Source organism: Homo sapiens, chromosome 5 (genome assembly GCF_000001405.40).
Source record: "Homo sapiens chromosome 5, GRCh38.p14 Primary Assembly".
Classification (NCBI taxonomy): Eukaryota; Metazoa; Chordata; class Mammalia; order Primates; family Hominidae; genus Homo; species Homo sapiens.
In genome coordinates, this window is record NC_000005.10 from 126,816,282 (window position 1) to 126,834,872 (window position 18,591).

Genomic DNA, 18,591 nt, shown 5'->3' on the forward strand with positions numbered 1-18,591 from the left:
ACTACTCTGGAATTTAATTAATTGATTGGTCAATTTTTTTTCTTTAAAAATATATTTTTGTGTGTGCGTGTGAACCAGGCACCCCCTCTGCCCCCAAATAGGTTTACAGTGACTCTTGATTATTTTTTAAATAACCTTGTTATTTTGGCATAATTTTAGATTTACAGAAAAGTTGGCAAAGTACTATAGACAGTTCTTGTTTTCCTCTCACCCATTTTCCCCTGTTGTTAGCATCTTATGTTACCATAGTATATTTGTCAAAACTAAGAAACTGACATTGGTATATTACTGTGAACTCGTCTCCAGACTATTTGGATTTCACCAGTTCTTCTGTTATCTTCTTTCTGTTCCAGGTGCCACATGCCTCCCCTGGTCTGTGACAGTTTCTTGGGCTTTCCTTGTTTTTTATGAGCTTGAGTCTTGAGTAAGATTGTCCAGGTATCCTGTAGACTGTCCCCCAATTTGGATTTGTCCGGTGCTTTTCACGTGATTAGACTGGGGTTTTGGGTTTTAAGTGCCCGTTTTGTCACATCGTATCAGGGATTGCACGTATGTGATAACCACATGACATCACTGGTGGTGTTTGGTTTAAGATAGTGTTTGTCAGGTTTCTCCACTGTCAACAGCGCTACTATTTTTCCGTTCCCATACACTGTTCATGGAAAACAGCTCACTAAGTCCAGCCTACCCTCAAGGGTGAAGGACAGGGCAGGACTTAAGCGCCACATTCTGGAGGGAAATCTACATTTATTAAATGGCATTCTTCTGTAACGATTTATCCATTCCCCGTTTGTTTGGTTTGTTTGTTTGTTTGTTTGTGTCCGTATGGACCATGGGCATTTACTTTATACTTTGGGTTGTAAGCTAATACTGCAGTATTTACTTTTTTGGCTTAAATTGTTTCATATTTGGCCACTGGGAGTTCTGTCAGCTTGGCCACTATGTCCCATTGTTTTTTGAGCACTTTGTTGCTTTCTGGTACTATAACATGCTCTAGGCTCATCTTGCATTTTCCCTGCCCCAGTCCTAGAATTATCCAGTCTCCAAGGAGCCCTGGTTCTTGTTATTGGAGAATGGTATATAGAAATTAAGATCTGGGCACTGAGTGTGCTCACTGGTACTGGGTATCACTGCTTCTTGGCCCTCTCACCGATAAAAGTGGGTAACATTTTATGTATGCTAACCCATGTGTATGCACATATTTATAACTTTTTCTGTCTAATCATTTGTGTTAAGATAAACATGAATTCATACAGATGTCTCTGACTTGAATCTAGTAGGACAGCATTCAATTTTGGCTTCCTTTCTGACATACCTGTATCTTTTCTCTCTCAGAGTGAGAAACCTGGTTTTTATCATCCATTTACTTATCTGTTCAGCCCCAGTATATGTTAAAGCAGTTTCAAAATTTTGAACCTGTACTGCTGTGAAAAGTAAATTTACCAGCAAGAGTACAGTTTTTATGTATTTGGTAGCTCCTTTTTATCTCTAGCCTTCTAGATTTAGTTTTTGCACATTAGATGCCCTTTCTCTCCTGCTCTGTTGCAGGTACTTGTGATTCTGAGGGCCTAAGCTATCCATCAGTCTTTTTGAGTTGTCACTTTCTGAGGCTACTGAGATGAATTCTGTCATGGAGAAACACAGAAGAATAATTACCCAGCGAGCCACAAGGTTTCTAAGATGAACTTTCTGGTGTAGGATGTGTGATTTTTAATTTTTTTATGCCAAATATACAGCTTCTATATTCACAGTAATACTTTACAAATCACCCTATATTGTGTGTCCTTTGTGTGCTAACTGAACATGAGATAGCCCAGCAATCCTAAAGGGACACTAGGTAGTGCCTTCCACATAGTAACCAGAGTCCCTTTGCCTTGGTTTCTGAATATTCCTCAGCAGTCTGCTAAAACGTACTTTTACCCACTCTTAGGTTTATTTTGTCAGTCAGTGTTTATATCTTTTTTTTTTTTTTTTTGAGACAGAGTCTCGCTCTGTTGCCCAGGTTGGAGTGCAATGGCGTGATCTTGGCTCACTGCAACCTCTGCCTCCGGGGTTCAAGCGATTGTCCTGCCTCAGCCTCCCAAGTAGCTGGGATTACAGGCGCCCACCACTACAACCTGCTAATTTTTTTTGTATTTTTAGTAGAGACGGGGTTTCGCCATGTTAGTCAGGCTGGTCTCAAACTCCTGACCTCAGGTGATCCACCTGCCCCGGCCTCCCAAAGTGTTGGGATTACAGGCGTAAGCCACCACACCCACCCAGTGTTCTTATCTTTTTAAGTTCTTTATTTAATTTATACTTTTGGAAGTAAAGGCTTTGTAAGGGAGCCAGACTTGACTTTTACCAAAACCACATCTTAACATTTTTTTGGCTAAGTACAGAAAAATTATATGTATATTTACAGAACTTACATTTGTGGAATATGTCTTTTATTCTTTTATCAGCCAAAACTATCCTGAGGTCTGTGTTTTGTATTTGAGGAATTTTGGGTTTTAATTTCTTAAAATCTCTTGAATTCTAGTGAGTTAGAGATTCCATAGGGTTGTACTGTTTTCCAGTCTAGGAAATGATTTAAAATAGCTGCCTGGTGCTAATGTTGGAATGTTCCTAGAAAGTAAATATGTTTCCTTGCATCTTAAGTCTAGAGCATGTTTGGAAAGGATTCAAGAATTAGAGGACTTGCTTGCTAAAGAAAAAGACAACTCTCGTCGCATGCTGACAGACAAAGAGAGAGAGATGGCGGAAATAAGGGATCAAATGCAGCAACAGCTGAATGACTATGAACAGCTTCTTGATGTAAAGTTAGCCCTGGACATGGAAATCAGTGCTTACAGGAAACTCTTAGAAGGCGAAGAAGAGAGGTAAGGAACTTAAGGGTCACCCTACCTTATGGTCCACTTTTTGCCTCTCACCCTTTTTATTGAAATAAAAATAAATAGCATTTTAAAAAGAACTTTATTTTCTTGGTCATTTCTTTGAACACCTAGGTATAGAAGTAGTAATAGATCATATTTCTACCTCATCGCAGAAAATGTTGCTCAAGTACTCTTAGTTTATTTATTATTATTACTTTAAATGCTGAACTGCATCAGGATGGATTAGTTCCTTTGAGATTTTAAGTGTTTTGGTGATTTAATATATTGTAAAATGCCAAACTGGCTGAAAGAGACTTTACATATTATTTATTTATTTATTTATTTATTTATTTATTTATTTATTTATTTTTGAGACAGAGTCTCAGCCTGTTGCCCAGGCTAGAGTGCAGTGGTGTGATTCTCGGCTCACTGCAACCTTCACCTCCTGGTTTCAAGCGATTTGCCTACCTCAGCCTCCTGAGTAACTGGGATTACAGGCGTGTGTCACCACACCCGGCTAATTTTGTTTTTAGTAGAGAAGAGGTTTCACCATGTTGGCCAGGCTGGTCTCAAACTCCTGACTGCAAGTGACCCACCCGCCTCAGCCTCCCAAAGTGCTAGGATTACAGGTGTGAGCCACCACGCCCGGCTGGCTTTATATATATTTTAAATCTGGTCAATGTATAAATATTTTTGACACCTGTTCTCAGAAAAGAGTTCCAAAAGGGCCAGGTGCATTGCCTCATGCCTGTAATCCCGGCACTTTGGGAGGCCAAGGCAGGCGGATCACATGAGGTCAGGAGTTCAAGACCAGCCTGGTCAACATGGTGAAACTCCGTCTCTAATGAAAATACAAAAATTAGCTGGGCATGGTGGCAGGCACCTGTAATCCCAGCTACTTGGGAGGCTGAGACAGAATTGCTTGAACCTGGGAGGTGGAGTTTGCAGTGAGCCAAGATTGTGCCATTGCACTCCAGCCTGGGTGACAAGAGTGAAACTCTGTCTCACAAAAAAAAGAAAAAGAAAAAAAAAGTTCCAAAAGGAAAGTGGCTGATTTAGGATAAAAAGCCAGATAATTTTAATATTATATCCGTTGTGATCATAAGAAAGTACAGGTACGAAAAGAGAAAAAAGTACACCAACTATAACAGTGGCTGTGGTGGGTGGTGGTAGATCAGATGACTTTCTACCCATTTACCAGACTTCTTGCATTATGGTTATATTACTTCCATCCCTAGAGAAAACATTCAGATTGTTATTTTTTAAAAAAGAAAATTGACGATGGGCACCTTATGAAGAAGTTTACATTAGTTAAGGTAAACTTTGGCTTTGGCTAACAGATTGTAAGTAATATTTTGCTTTAGAAATGCATGGGTGGGATATTCTTCTTCTTATTATTATTATTTTGAGACAGGTTTTCACTCTGTCACCCAGGCTAGAGTGCAGTGGTGTGATCTCAGCTCACTGCAGCCTCTGCCTCCCGGGTTCAAGCCATTCTCCTGCCTCAGCCTCCTGAGTAGCTAGTATTACAGGCGCCCACCACCACGCCTGGCTAATTTTTGTATTTTTAGTAGAGACGGGGTTTCACCATGTTGGTCAGGCTGATCTTGAACTCCTGACCTCAAGCAATCCACCTGCCTTGGCCTCCCAAAGTGCTGTTGGGTTACAGACATGAGCCTCTGTGCCCAGCCCTTGTTTTTTTGTTTTTTTTTTTTTTAAGGCGAGAAGGGCATATGTGTTTTAAAAATGAATTGTTTTATTTTTCCCATATAGGTTGAAGCTGTCTCCAAGCCCTTCTTCCCGTGTGACAGTATCCCGAGCATCCTCAAGTCGTAGTGTACGTACAACTAGAGGAAAGCGGAAGAGGGTTGATGTGGAAGAATCAGAGGCGAGTAGTAGTGTTAGCATCTCTCATTCCGCCTCAGCCACTGGAAATGTTTGCATCGAAGAAATTGATGTTGATGGGAAATTTATCCGCTTGAAGAACACTTCTGAACAGGTAATAAAATAGACCCTTTTTTTTCTAGCAAGGCTTTGTGGATTGCTAGATTCTCTTGCAATTGTCATAGCTCCTTAGTTTTTGTTTGGATTCATTACGTCTTCATGGAATAAGGGTTTATGTCCTTTTTACTTAAATTCATAAAATAAAATAAAAATTAAAATAGGAGGAGGAAGAGTTAGGTACCCTTAGTAGTTTAAAGATTTGCTTCATTAACCCTTCTTTAGAGGGCCAGGGCTTTTTTGAAAAGCATGTTCCTTTTATCACAGTGGTTCTGAGGATGAGTTATTATTATTCTCTGCCCTAGCCAAATTTGTGAAGAAGTTGGAGCAATTGGATGAAAATGGTGGATATTCTTTCGGTCATTAACTTAATAAAAAGCTTACTGAAAGAAGGAGATAAGAGCCTGGACTCAGATATTAAGGGAATATTTTTCCCTGCAAATAAATGAATGAACAAATGCTAATACTTTACATGAAAAATAGCATGAAGCCTTATTTTGAAATATGTTTAAAAGTAAACATGAAGTATTCATAGCAGAGATTTCTGAAATTTAGGGCTGGGGCTTTCGGGAGCTCTGTAGTGTGGGCCTTCCCTAGCTCTGCATCAAGGAGCTGGAGGCCATGATGGGTTGTGAGATGATACTAGAGGAAGGCATGGTCTGGGAGCGTGCAGGCGGCAGTGGGATGGATGTCACATCTTGAAACATATGTTCAGGGCCTGCTAAAAGTAGTTTTGAAAATTAGTCTTTTCTCACCACAGTTATTAAAACTATCTTGCATGTGGATGAATATGTAATTTGGATGAGTGAAGGAGCACTAATGAGCACCAACAGTTTTAATGCTAAAGAGAATAGGCTCTAAGGTCTCTTTGTAGCCTTTTTTTTTTTTTTGAGTCTTGCTCTGTTGCCCAGGTCGGAGTGCAGTGGCATGATCTTGGCTCCTCCACCTCTTGGGTTCAAGAGATTCTCCTGCCTCAGCCTCCTGAGTAGCTGGGATTACAGGTGCACGCAAGCACGCCTGCTGATTTTTGTATTTTTACACAGGGCTTCACCATGTTGGCCAGGCTGGTCTCCAACTCCTGACCTCAGGTGATCCACCCGCCTTGGCCTCCTAAAGTGCTGGGATTACAGGCATGGGCCACCATGCCCAGCCCCACTGACCCTTTTTTTGAGCCCCTTATGCTTTCATGTATGAGAGCTGAATGTGGGCAGAAGTGGGACAGATGCAGAAGGAAAATGACAGATTTTCTTCTGTTTCTAAGCTTATGTGTCTATTTTAAAAGCTTGAAGTAATCCAATACTTGATGTTTAAAAATTGTGATTATGACAGCTAGATAGTGCTGTAAATTTGAAAGACCCACCTTATCTAGCAGTGAATTTGACCATTTAATTTGGTTCATACCCTGTTCTTCCAGTTCTGTCCTCTTTAAAGTCAAGTACCTTACTAATTAACTCATTGTTGAAGTTACTGTTTGACAAAATGACAGAATCGTGTTTTCTTTTTATAGTAGGAAAACCTGAAATGTGGGAAGATGACCATAAAGCGGTCTTAGTTTAACTGCCTGTATGGATTAATTTATTTGATTATTCCACAACTTTCTTTATCTTTGAAGTAACACCCCTCACCCTCCTTTCTGTGTGTAGGATCAACCAATGGGAGGCTGGGAGATGATCAGAAAAATTGGAGACACATCAGTCAGTTATAAATATACCTCAAGATATGTGCTGAAGGCAGGCCAGACTGTTACAGTAAGTGAATCTAGTCATCATTTAATTTAACTTCATTGTGTTAACTAACAAAGTAACTCAAAAAGTTTTTTGGCTAAAAGAGAAGCATTTTAGAAATGGCCGTTAAAGTACTTTTTATATTATTAGGGCATTACAAGTGCTATAAAAGATTTTTAAAATTCTGTCTTATTGAGAGTAGTGAAGAATGGACCTTTGAATTATTTTTATCTTGTCTATTCCAGTAGATATAAAAGCTATCTCTAGGCTGATACTTATAGCCCAGTGTCATTCAGGAGACACTGCTTGGCATAAAGAACTGTTAAGAATTTAGCATTAACATATGCCTAAAACAGCAATCTCTAGCCTTGGGTGAGCTTCAGAATCATTTGGGTAGTATTTTGGTGTTCAGGCCCTACTTCACCCTTTGCTATCTTTAGGGTTGGGGTAGGAGCCTAGGTTTTGAATAAAAGTCCTTAGATTATAGGCACCCTTGTAAATTTTCACTAATTGGCATTCTGTGTCTTGATTTCTAAATGGCTCTCTATTGGTATGTTCTGAAATACTACATCTTTAATAGTTACTGAATTATTATTAGCTTACTTTTTAGAGAAGTATGTTTCATTGAGTAATCAAAGATTCTTTTGCTTTTACTTAGTAGGTAGATTTAGCTAACAATAAAATATGTTAACTTTGATACAGATTTCAAAGAAGTCACTCTTTTCATCCTAAAAGAATGTAGAGGTGACTGTCTCTTTCCTTTTATATATTCTTTAAAAAATATTAAACGCATGTTTTAAATGTGTTTATAATTTTATGTTGATACAAACCTTACTGTTGAAGATCAAAGGCTCAGACTTCTCTTTAAAAAGGTGTATTCAGAGAGCATGATGCCACTTTGTGAAAATATCAAATGCTAATTTGGTAATAATGGGTAAAAATGGGATCAACTATCCTAACTACAATATCCTTTCTTCTCGTTAGTAATTACTATAGTGAGAAAAAATTGCTCACTATAGCAATTGCTATTATATGTCTTATGGAAGCTGTATAATGTGGTAAAAAGAATCTGACATTTTAGTTCAGAGGATTCAGAATTGAGTGTGCTCTCTATCTCAGAAGTAATATGGAAGCCTTATGCCAATCATGTGCTTTTTCTACTGGGTATACTACCTCAGGGACTAAATACATGGATTCTAGAGATCTAGTGGATAACTCAATTATCATATAAAATAATGTGATACTTTTTTCCCTTCAGTTACTGGCATTAAATGTGATAAGCAGCTCTTTGGAACATGGTAGTAATAAGTGATCTTTCTGTAAAATTGCAGAGGCAAAAGCAAAGATCAGTTTAAAACTCTAGAATAGAAATATGAGAACCACATGTGTAATTTTAAATTTTCTTATAGCCGCATTAAAGTAAAAAAGAAAGACATGAATTTTAGAACTATATTTTATGAAACCCAATATATCCAAAATATTGCTTTAACATGTAATCAGTCTAAAAAGTCAGATATTTTTACATTCTTTTTTTTTTATGTTTAGCTAAGTCTTCAAAATCTAGTGTGTATTTTACCCTTACAGCACATTCATTTCAGACTAGCCATATTTTAAGTGCTAACAAGCCACATTTTGCTGCGGTATTGAATGACATGGCTATAGGACATATTAGTTTTAGGTTAAGTTAGCCAGCAAGGATACTGACATTTTATGATGATGATTACTAACATAAATCAACTATGTGATTACATATAGGCTAGTGAGAAATATTGCTTACAATTAGGGAAACACTAACATTCCACATAGTCTGAATGTTGGACCAGATTCAGTTCTTTTTTTCAGTTTAATCCCAGTTAATATCTTGTGCCCTTTTCCATTTGTAATGCTGATGAAAGATCTGGATGCTTCAGGGGAACATCTCAAAAGTAAGGGCTCTCTCCTAATCAGTAATTCATAGATTTTTTTTTTCCTGTTTCCACCCCACCCCCCCACCCTTTCTTTTTTTTGATAGAGACAGGATTTCACCATTTTGCCCAGGCTGGTTTTAAACTCCTTAGCTCAAGTGATCTGCCCGCCTCGGCCTCCCAAAGTGCTGTGATTACAGGCTGGAGCCACTACACCTGGCCCCCATTTTGAAATAATACTTGGCTTTGCCATCTTCAGCTTTCCTTTTGCAGTCATAAAGTCTTTTATATTCTATAACAATGTATGGATTACAAACTTTTCTGTTTCTATTTGTTTTTAAATGATCTTTCTAAGAGATCAGGGCTAGTAGTATCCCTGTAGCTAAAGGCATTGAGTTTCCTAGAGGTGTAGTGATTTGTCCAGAATTCAAACCTAGGCTTTCTGACTGCCAGGTGTTCTTCACTCTATCCATTCTCTTTTGCCAGTAGATATATAAAAAGAATTTCATGCTCATGAGAAGGGAAATATAATTATTTCTTTGACCTATTTCAATAGCAATTATATTTTCCCTTGAACAGCGAGTGATTTATACATTTCCAGCATTCTTTTTGGAGCGCAGTCTCAGATACTCTAGGGTATTGTGACATTGTCTGTTTGGAGACGTACCAGTTTCCATAAGATTATTCTAGATAGGCTCTCTGCTGCAGAAGGTCTCTTTAGTTCTTGCTGTAGGCAGCCAGAGAACATTATTAGAGGGAGTCACAGAAGGCTCTAACATGGAAGGATGGCCTATAAAACCCACAGAGTAATAGAACGCTGAGGCTACCATTCACTGAGTTAGCCAGCCACTGAATGTGGGTTATCACTTGCTCTTTTCAATAATCGCACCTGTTACAGGTGCCATTTCTACCCTGTTTTATGGATGACTAAAGTAAGGTAACTTGCTCAGGGTCAGCTGGTGTGTAAAGGAACTAGGATGTGAGTGTAGGCAGTTTTACTTCAGGGTCTTATATATTATCATCTTCACTTATCAGATGGGGAAGCTGAGGCCTTGAGAAGCTCTGTGAGTTCTCCTGGCCACATAGCTGTGTATAGCACTCTGTAGCTGGGGCATAGTTCTCAGACTTTTAGAATCAAGTGTTTGAGTCTCATCGCATTGCTGTCGTTGGCGTGTGGGAGAACTGGGTTCTGGGTGTACTGACATGCTTTGGTTTTTTACAGATTTGGGCTGCAAACGCTGGTGTCACAGCCAGCCCCCCAACTGACCTCATCTGGAAGAACCAGAACTCGTGGGGCACTGGCGAAGATGTGAAGGTTATATTGAAAAATTCTCAGGGAGAGGTATGGCCAGTTTATCAGGACCACCACAATGTTAATTTCACTTAAAGTTCACTGTGCAAGTATAATCAAGATCAGATTGAAACGTGCAATAACCGATTGCATAAACAGACCAAAGCTGCTAAGTTAATTGAACTGAAGCTGTCTTTAAGTTTTAGGAATAAATAGGAGTGTATTATAGAGTACTGATTATTAGCACAGGCTCCAGAACAGATTTTCTGTGTCCTGTTTCTGTTTTCACTGCACATTAGCTTTGTGACTTTGGGCAAGTTACTTCACCTCTCTTAGATTTGTCATTTAAAAATGGATATTAATGACACAATATCCATGAGCTAATAATAAGAATGAGACAGTACTTGGGAAATGCTTGGAATAGTATCTGGCATAGTACCTTTATCTAGTAAATGCTTAAATTATTAACCTTGTTACTAGCTCTCAGAATGTTCATGAAACTGTGAGTTTGAAGATTGTGGAGTGTACATCTTCTTGGAGTGTGTGTTTTCAGTGTGTCAGTCTTAGAATCCTTGTCAAAGTACCTTACCTTCCCCATTGCCACATAAAGACACTGCATATACCCCTACCAATACTAGTCTTAGAAATACTACTTCCTAATAAAGCGGCTAAAGTGTGCTTTGAAGCTAGTAAAACATGGCTTCCTCCTTGTCTTTCCCTAGCGAATCACCTTATCCAGGTGCTGTACCACGCATCACTGAGCCTCTGTTTAGAATTTGAGTCCCTCCTTTGTTGCTATTGCCATAAGCATGTTAATGGAGCTTTTGTTGTGAGTTCAGCATGGTTTGTTCTTCTCATTTTCCTTTTAGTTGTAATACTGCTTTTTCATCCTTTGCCTACCAGGAGAGCTGTAAGTTGGCTTGCAAGGAAGCCATTGGTCATAACCTTGTTCTGACATGCTTACTGATTCTGACCTTTTCACCCAGTTTCCAGGCTGGCAGGCTCTGCTGTTTGTACCTTACAACCTGACTGGGTATGCATTTCAGTCTGAGTGGTGCTGAAAGGAGATATATAGGGGGAATGTTAGGCTGGCAAACCTGGTAGGGAAGCTAACCATATTTACAAGTGCAGGGCTATTCATTTATTTGGAAAATCCTGAGTATCTGCTGTATGCCAGCCACTTTGTGTTAGGAATAAGCAGGAAAAAAGCCATACGTGGTTTCTGGCATCATGGAGCCCACATTGTAAAGAGAGTAAGGGAGCCAGGGAATAAGATAAAGTGATTTTCTGATAAAGGTAATAAAGATAAACTGTGGTATCAGGCCCAGCGCAGTGGCTCATGCCTGTAATCCCAGCACTTTGGGAGGCCGAAGGTGGGTGGATCACCTGAGGTCAGGAGTTAGAGACCAGCGTGGCCAACATGGTGAAACCCCGTCTCTACTAAAAACACAAGAATTAGCCGGGCATGGTGGCACGTGCCTGTAGTCCAGGCTACTCAGGAAGCTGAGGCAGGAGAATTGCTTGAACTCGGGATGAGCTGAGATTGCGCCATTGCACTCCAGCCTGGGCGACAGAGCAAGACTGTGTCTCAAATAAATAAATAAAGTTACAGGACTCGCTGAGTAAAGTTTGTCAGGAGAGGGTCCAGAATTGAGCCCTAGAAAATATTGACATTAGGAATAAGAGCAAAGGAAGTAGAAGATGCAGCCAGTGAAGTCAGAGGAAAATGGTGTGTGATGTCAGGAAAGCCAAGGGAGGAAAGTATCTGTGAAAGGAGTGGTCAGCGGGTCAAATCACACCGTCCCCTTAGGGGTTTTTTGTCTGCTCCCATAGTGCCACGGGCAGGCCTCTAACCTGCGTGGTGCTCATCACATTGTTCTCACTCACTAGAGGAAGCACACTGAGGGCAAGGGCCTGTTCTGGTAGATCCTGGTATCATGCTTGGCACATAACAGGAATTCAGGAAGCATTTACTGGATGCATTTTTTAAAAAAAAATCAGACATGGACCTTGACTTACGTTCAGAGAAATAAAGCAATAGCAGCATTCATTATAAGAGTCTGAGGTGCCTGGATAAAAAGTTCTGTTCATGGCCATCTTCCTGTCTATCCCTCACTGTAACCATGTCTCTTGTGAAACATTGTTAAGAGTGGTGATTGGCTCAGATAAGACTGAAAAGCACTGTTATAAGGGGTACAAGGCAGATTAAATGGACTTTCGTGAGCCATGGAATCTAGTCATTATTTATGTCATTTTTTTTTTCTCTGTGAAAGTGTGTTCCAAGTTAGAAACAATGTTATAGGAGGATATTTGGAATGGAGCAGTAGGTTTAAATGCCCCAAAAAATAGATACAGTGACATGAACAAAGTAGTAGATATTATGACATGGGATGCATCTTCAGACAGTATTACTAGTATTACTGATGACATATTAGTAAAGCTAACTGAAGCTTAGCTCCATTTCATAACTCAAACATTGAATAGTAGATTATTTGATTGATTGATTGGTTGGTTGGTCCATTCTTTTTTTTTTTTTTGGTGAAGGAGTTTCACTCTGTTGCCCAGGCTGGAGTGGAGTGGCATAGCACGATCTCGGCTCACTGCAACCTCCGCCTCCTGCCTCAGCCTCCTGAGTAGCTGGAACTACAGGTGCGTGCCAACACACCTGGCTAATTTTTATATTTTTAGTAGAGATGGGGTTTTACCATATTGGCCAGGATGGTCTCAATCTCTTGACCTTGTGATCCGTCACCTCGGCCTCCCAAAGTGCTGGGATTACAGGTGTGAGCCACCATGCCCGGCCAAGGTTGGTCCATTCTTTTAACAAACTTCTAATACCTTCAGCTTGCGAGGCTCTGTTTTAAGTGAGTTCTGTCAGAAATGAGGAGAGAAAGTATTATGAATACAGGTCTTATTTCACTAGACAGTTACTTTTGGCATTTATTCATTTAATTCGATAAGACCATATTTGTCAGTAGGGACCAGACCACATTAGGAACAATCTATAAACAATCCCCGCCATAAAGACCAGTTTGCAGTAAGATTGTTGGTAACTGGCTTAGTCAGTTTTGTTTCTTATGTTTTTTTTTTTCTTCTTGCTGGGGCATTGGAAATGTCAGAAAACCCAATTAAACTGGCTTAGAAATAATGGAAATTTTTTGGGCTCACATAATAAAAAATTTAAATAGTGGACCTAATCCAGTGGCTCACAGCATGTCCCCGGGGATCTGTCTGTTGTTTCTCTTCTGGTTGCCTCCCTTGGGGACGCAGGATAGCTGCTGGCTGCTCCCAGAGGTACGTCTTTTCTATTTGCTTTTTGTGGGAAGGTGATCTTTCAAAAAAGTGCTCTTTATGGTGGAGTTTATAGATTGTTGCTAACGTGGTCCGGTACTACTGACAGATAAACATGGTCTTACCCAATTAAATGAATACATACCAAAAGTAACTGTCTAATGAAATAAGACCTGTATTCATACCACTTTCTCTCCTCGTTCCTGACAGAACTCTCTCAGAACAGCCTAGCAAGCAGAAGGCAGTAGAAGTTTGTTAAAAGAATGGACAATCCAGCCCACCAAATAATCTGATATTGAGTGTTTGAATTATGGAGGGAAGCTAAACTTCATCCCCTGTGAGGCACCCATCCTGGGCTTCACTCACACTGGACTAGGGTGGGTCACGTGCCCACCTCTAAACCAGTTCCTGGAGTTGGGAGGGCGGAATTAGAGCTCAAGACTTCTTCCTCCCCTCTACAGCCACATTGCACTGGGCTCCTTGTGACACACGTGTGCTCCATGGGGGGTGTGTACCCAGGTAAACCTAGGGGCTCTTATTCAGGAGGGAGGGGGCACTGGGTGGTTAAAAACAGCGATTGTCACCATGGCAAAAACAAGATGTTTTTTATGAGGGAAATAAAAAATAAAGCAGTCCTTCCAAACTTTCCAGAATATAGATATAATGGAAACTTTTGTATATGCAAATGATTACTTATATATGTAGAGATGCAATATATAAAATATAAACAATCATCTTTCGTCCACATAAGATCGCCCTGATTTGTAGCATTTGCTAATTTCTGTGGTATAAATACTCCTACTGTGGCTGATGCCAGGCTTCCAGCATTATGTGACTGAGCACAGAGCTGTGCAGTGATGAGCAGCATCAGCAGGTGCAGCCAGCTCCGGGCACCACTGCACAGATCAGTGCACCTTCATATGCCCAAGGCTCGCAGCAGGGGCGGACCAATGCTGCATTTTATAGACAGAGTAAAGCCTGTCATGTAAGACTATTTATGTGAACCTTTCAGGACACTTGGGGTAAACACATTTATTTAGTAGCATCTTGACTAATAACAATTTCCTTGATCTAAACCTCCCAACAGCTTTTTGGTTCTAAATTATTATTTATTATTTTTCTACCTAGATTTTTAGACATTAGCTCACCCATTTTTTATACGGCTTTCTGTATTAGATTAATTGGTTTTTGCATGTTTTCAAATGAAGAGTGCTTAACAGCAGGGTTACACTTAAAGTAGTTATGTTAAGGTAATTCATAATAATGAAGACAGGCAAGTTGCTGTTTTCTGAGGTTCTCATTGAGGCTAATAGTCTTAAGCTACATCATGAGCCTTAAGAGCCAATGTTTGCATATGGGATGTATACCACGAGCTTCTAGAAGCTGGAATGTGGTAATTTTGTTATAGAAGATTTTATTTGACTCGTTCCTCATTTTAAGATGAGTTGAGAAAAGCTGGGTACTCTCAAAGTTTTTTAAGAATTTATTTTTCTGCTTTATATGCTGCTATCTCCTAGTTGATAGCTTGAACGGTGGTTGATCTAAAGAATCACATTTTTTTTATTACTAATTTGGTTAAAACACTGATATTTGTGAAATGGCTATTTCTGTTTGTAAAGATAGACCAATTTCACAGAATTGAAGTTACTGGCTAATTGAGAGGCTCAAAATGGTCCATCTTCCTTGGTCCTGCAAGAGTAATAAAAAATCCCCACAAAATACTGTTCTGCCACCTTACTTTATTTACAAAACACATTATTGGGCATATTTCAAATCGAAGTCTCATTTCTGTGACACTGGGTTTTGATTTTCTTTCTCTGCCATTGTAAACTAGCTGGTCTGTGTTAGATAAGCTTTTACTGAAGTAATATTGTGTCTTCCCCTGTAGCATTCTCTTTCTTGAGTGACCTTAGGACAGGGTACAGAATAAAATTATATGCTCTGCAGCACTCTTGAGGACACACTCATTTACTTGCTGCCAGATCATCAGGTTAGCCTTGTGCTTAAGCAAAAACACTGCTGCATTTGTGCCAAGTCAGCATTTTCCACAGGAAAGTAATCTGTATTTGACCTTTTTAGTAGAAAATGGAAATAGTTGCTTTCTGTCATACCTTTAGTGAATGATAGGAGACCTATTTCTGTACAGAATACATTGGAACCTCACTAGTACGTTATTGGTAAATAGTGTACAGTGTTCATCTGTCTTGATTTTGTTTCATTCAAGAGGTATCAGTTGCTGAAAGGAATGAAAGGAGCTTGTCCTTTCTTCTCACTTATCAGGTGGTCCTGTTGCTGGTAGTCCCTGAGATCACAGTTGGCTTCCAGCTTCATTTTATTCAGCATTTATTTAGCACCTTATCTTTGCCAGGAGCTAAGATCTTTAAGCTGAATTCATGTTGAGTTTTATAAAGAATTTAGTATGTCAAATAATTTGTAGAATTCTTAGTAACAGAATAGGATAAAAAGCAGTGGAAACTTCTCAGCAGATATTTCGAATTGGATAGTACTTCCTCCCCTGCAGGAAATATGGAAGGTATAAGAACTGCTACTAATTATGCGGAAATTTCAGTTTAGTAACCAGAAAGTTACTGATATACAGCTCCCCCCGCCCCACCCCTTTAAAAATAATAAACAGGGGCCAAGTGTGGAGGCTCATGCCTGTAATCCCAGCACTTTGGGAGGCTGAGGTGGGTGGATCACTTGAAACCAGGAGTTCAAGACCAGCCTGGCCAACGTGGCAAAACCCCATCTCTACTAAAAATGTATAAAAATTAGCCGCACGTGGTGGTGCATGCCTGTAATCCCAGCTACTGGGGTGGCTGAGGCATGAGAATCGCTTGAACCTGGGAAGTGAAGGTTTCAGTGAACCGAGGTCATGCCACTGCACACCAGCCTGGGCGACAGAGTGAGACTCTGTCTCCAAAAAAAGGGATGAATAATAGTAATAATAATAAACAGAAATGCTGTCTCTTTTTTTTTTCTTTTTTGAGACAGTCTTGCTGTGACACTGGAGTGCAGTGGCGTGATCTCGGCTCACTGCAACCTCAATGCAAGCCATTCTTCTGCCTCAGCCTCCTGAGTAGCTGGGATTACAGGCACGTGCCATCATGGCCAGCTAATTTTTGTATTTTTAGTAGAGACGGGGTTTCACCATGTTGGTCAGGCTGGTCTCTAACTCCTGACCTCGGGTGATCTGCCTGCCTTGGCCTCCCAAAGTGCTGGGATTACAGGTGTGAGCCACTGCGCCTGGCAAGAAATGCTGTCTCTTAAGCAAAGAAAAGGTCCCTCTCCCCCGCATTTGGTGATTTTAAGTGTGTTTTTTAACTTAAACTACTATTGTTTTTAGGAGGTTGCTCAAAGAAGTACAGTCTTTAAAACAACCATACCTGAAGAAGAGGAGGAGGAGGAAGAAGCAGCTGGAGTGGTTGTTGAGGAAGAACTTTTCCACCAGCAGGTATTACTTTATTTATTTAATATATTTATTTCAAATTTTATTCACAGAATTACATGAAGACCAAGAGTGTGGTTGGGTTTTTCCCCTATCAGTTGATGAACCAGCGCAGTTATCTACCAAGTGGGGTTTGTACTCCCCAAAGGGATATTCAAGGTGATACTTTAGGGTACTGGAAGAATATGTTGGCACTTTTATTTTTATTTTTTCTCATTGTACCAAGTTTCAGTTTTGTCCTTTGTTTTCTAATGTGCATTATGTGTTACAGTAAAACATGTCTATGGATTGGATGTTTACTCCAAACTTGTTTACTCTGTAGGGTCCTATGATTAAAAGGTTTAGATCACTAATTTAGAGCAAGAATCTGCATATAAACTTTAAAAAAACAAAGTAATATTCAACTTCAGTGTGAAACAAAATTCTTGCTGTATTAAGTTCCTAATCATTATCTAATTGAAGATAGATTTTGGCTGATGGTTGGGCTTTTGAGAGCCCTTGAAATAAAGAAACTCCAAATTTGGTTTTAATTATAATTAAATTGGAATTATTAATAACTAATGAGCCTTCAGTTTATATTCTCAAGCTGTTTGAGTCCGATCATTAATCAAAGTGTCTACCCTTATCCTGATAAGACTTTGTTTCCATGGCTCCAGATTTTTAGTCTTAAGTCTGCTTTGCTTCATTAGCCCTAGTCCTGGTCTAAATAAACACTGTCTCATATATTTAACCCCCAGGGTTGAGAACCACTTGAGGTGGGTTGCATGAAGTAGCATGAATTTTTTACCTGGATGCCTTCTCATACATTTTGGAGGAATATTTTAAAACACATATGTTACACTTAACTTACAAGAAACAAGCACAAGTTCCATTTTCTGTGCTTCAATGGGAACCATCGTAATTACTAGAAGTAAAATAATTATGTAAGAGATAACTCAAGGCACCAGACAAGAGGGTCAGCATGAGTTATATAGCATGTCAGATGCTAGAGGAGGTACTCCAGGCCAGCAGAGTAGTTGAGAAGAACTCTGTGAGGTGATGCTTGTCCACTAATTTGAAGGATGGGTGATTATTTGGTTATTGGAGAGAAGGCAGATGATGGTGCTCTGAGGATGTTGGAATTCACCATTGCTTCACTAACAGACCACCCCAAAGCTTAGTGGCTTAAAACAGTGATTTCTTACTTCCCATAATTCTGTGGTTTGACTGGGCTCAGCTGGGCAGTGTTTCTGTTCCACATGCTGCAGACTGAACTCAATCGAGCAGGCTGTGTTCAGCTCAGAGGTTGGCCTCGGCTGGAATATCTTTTAGGTCTCTTTCTGTGTGGATTTCTATGATTTAAGAGTTTAGTCAAAGCTTTATAGCATGGCAATTGTCTAACAGAGTAAGTGGAGGGTACAGGTTTCTTTCTTTTTTCTTTTTTTTTTTTGAGATAGAGTCTTGCTGTGTCGCCAGGCTGGAGCGCAGTGGCGCAATCTCAGCTCACCGCAACCTCCACCTCCCAGGTTCAAGAGATACCCCTGCCTCAGTCTCCCAAGTAGCTGGGATTACAGGCATGCGCCACCACGCCTGGCTAATTTTTTATATTGTAGTAGAGATGGAGTTTCACCATGTTGGCCACGACAATCTCAATCTCAAGAGAGTACCAGGTTTCTTAAAGGGCCCTTTGTAACATTCTCTTAGTCAAAGTCATGAGGCCAGTCCAGATTCAAAGTGGGGGTAAATAGTCTCCACCTGTTGGTGGGAGGAATGGCAAAGAATTCATGGTGATCTTTAACTCACTACAGAGGATGTGTAAAGAATGTGGCCGGGCACGGTGGCTTACGCCTGTAATCCCAGCAGTTTGGGAGGCAGGCAGATCACAAGGTCAGGAGATCGAGACCATCCTGGCTAACACGGTGAAACCCCGTCTCTACTAAAAATACAAAAAATTAGCCGGGCGTGGTGGCGGGAGCCTGTAGTCCCAGCTACTCGGGAGGCTGAGGCAGGAGAATGGCGTGAACCCGGGAGGCGGAGCTTGCAGTGAGCTGAGATGGCGCCACTGCACTCCAGCTTGGGTGACAGAGTGAGACTCTGC

The 18,591-nt window shown here is 40.2% G+C and overlaps 1 protein-coding gene across 7 annotated transcripts in view; it reads left to right on the top strand.

Annotated features, from left to right (window-relative positions):
- The window catches only part of LMNB1 (lamin B1), a 60,398-nt gene that overhangs the window by 39,659 nt on the left and 2,148 nt on the right, over positions 1–18,591 (top strand). For 6 of the 7 annotated variants that reach the window (NR_134488.1, NM_005573.4, NM_001198557.2 and 3 more), the window contains 5 exons: positions 2,641–2,861; positions 4,629–4,854; positions 6,500–6,604; positions 9,707–9,826; positions 16,413–16,520. Coding sequence is in view for 5 of the 7 variants with exons in the window: in NM_005573.4 (NP_005564.1) it covers positions 2,641–2,861; positions 4,629–4,854; positions 6,500–6,604; positions 9,707–9,826; positions 16,413–16,520 (780 nt within the window). In the remaining 2 variants the exon portion in view is untranslated. Of the gene's footprint in view, positions 1–353; positions 2,862–4,628; positions 4,855–6,499; positions 6,605–9,706; positions 9,827–16,412; positions 16,521–18,591 lie in introns of all 7 variants that reach the window. The other variant, NR_177109.1, reaches the window with a different exon arrangement.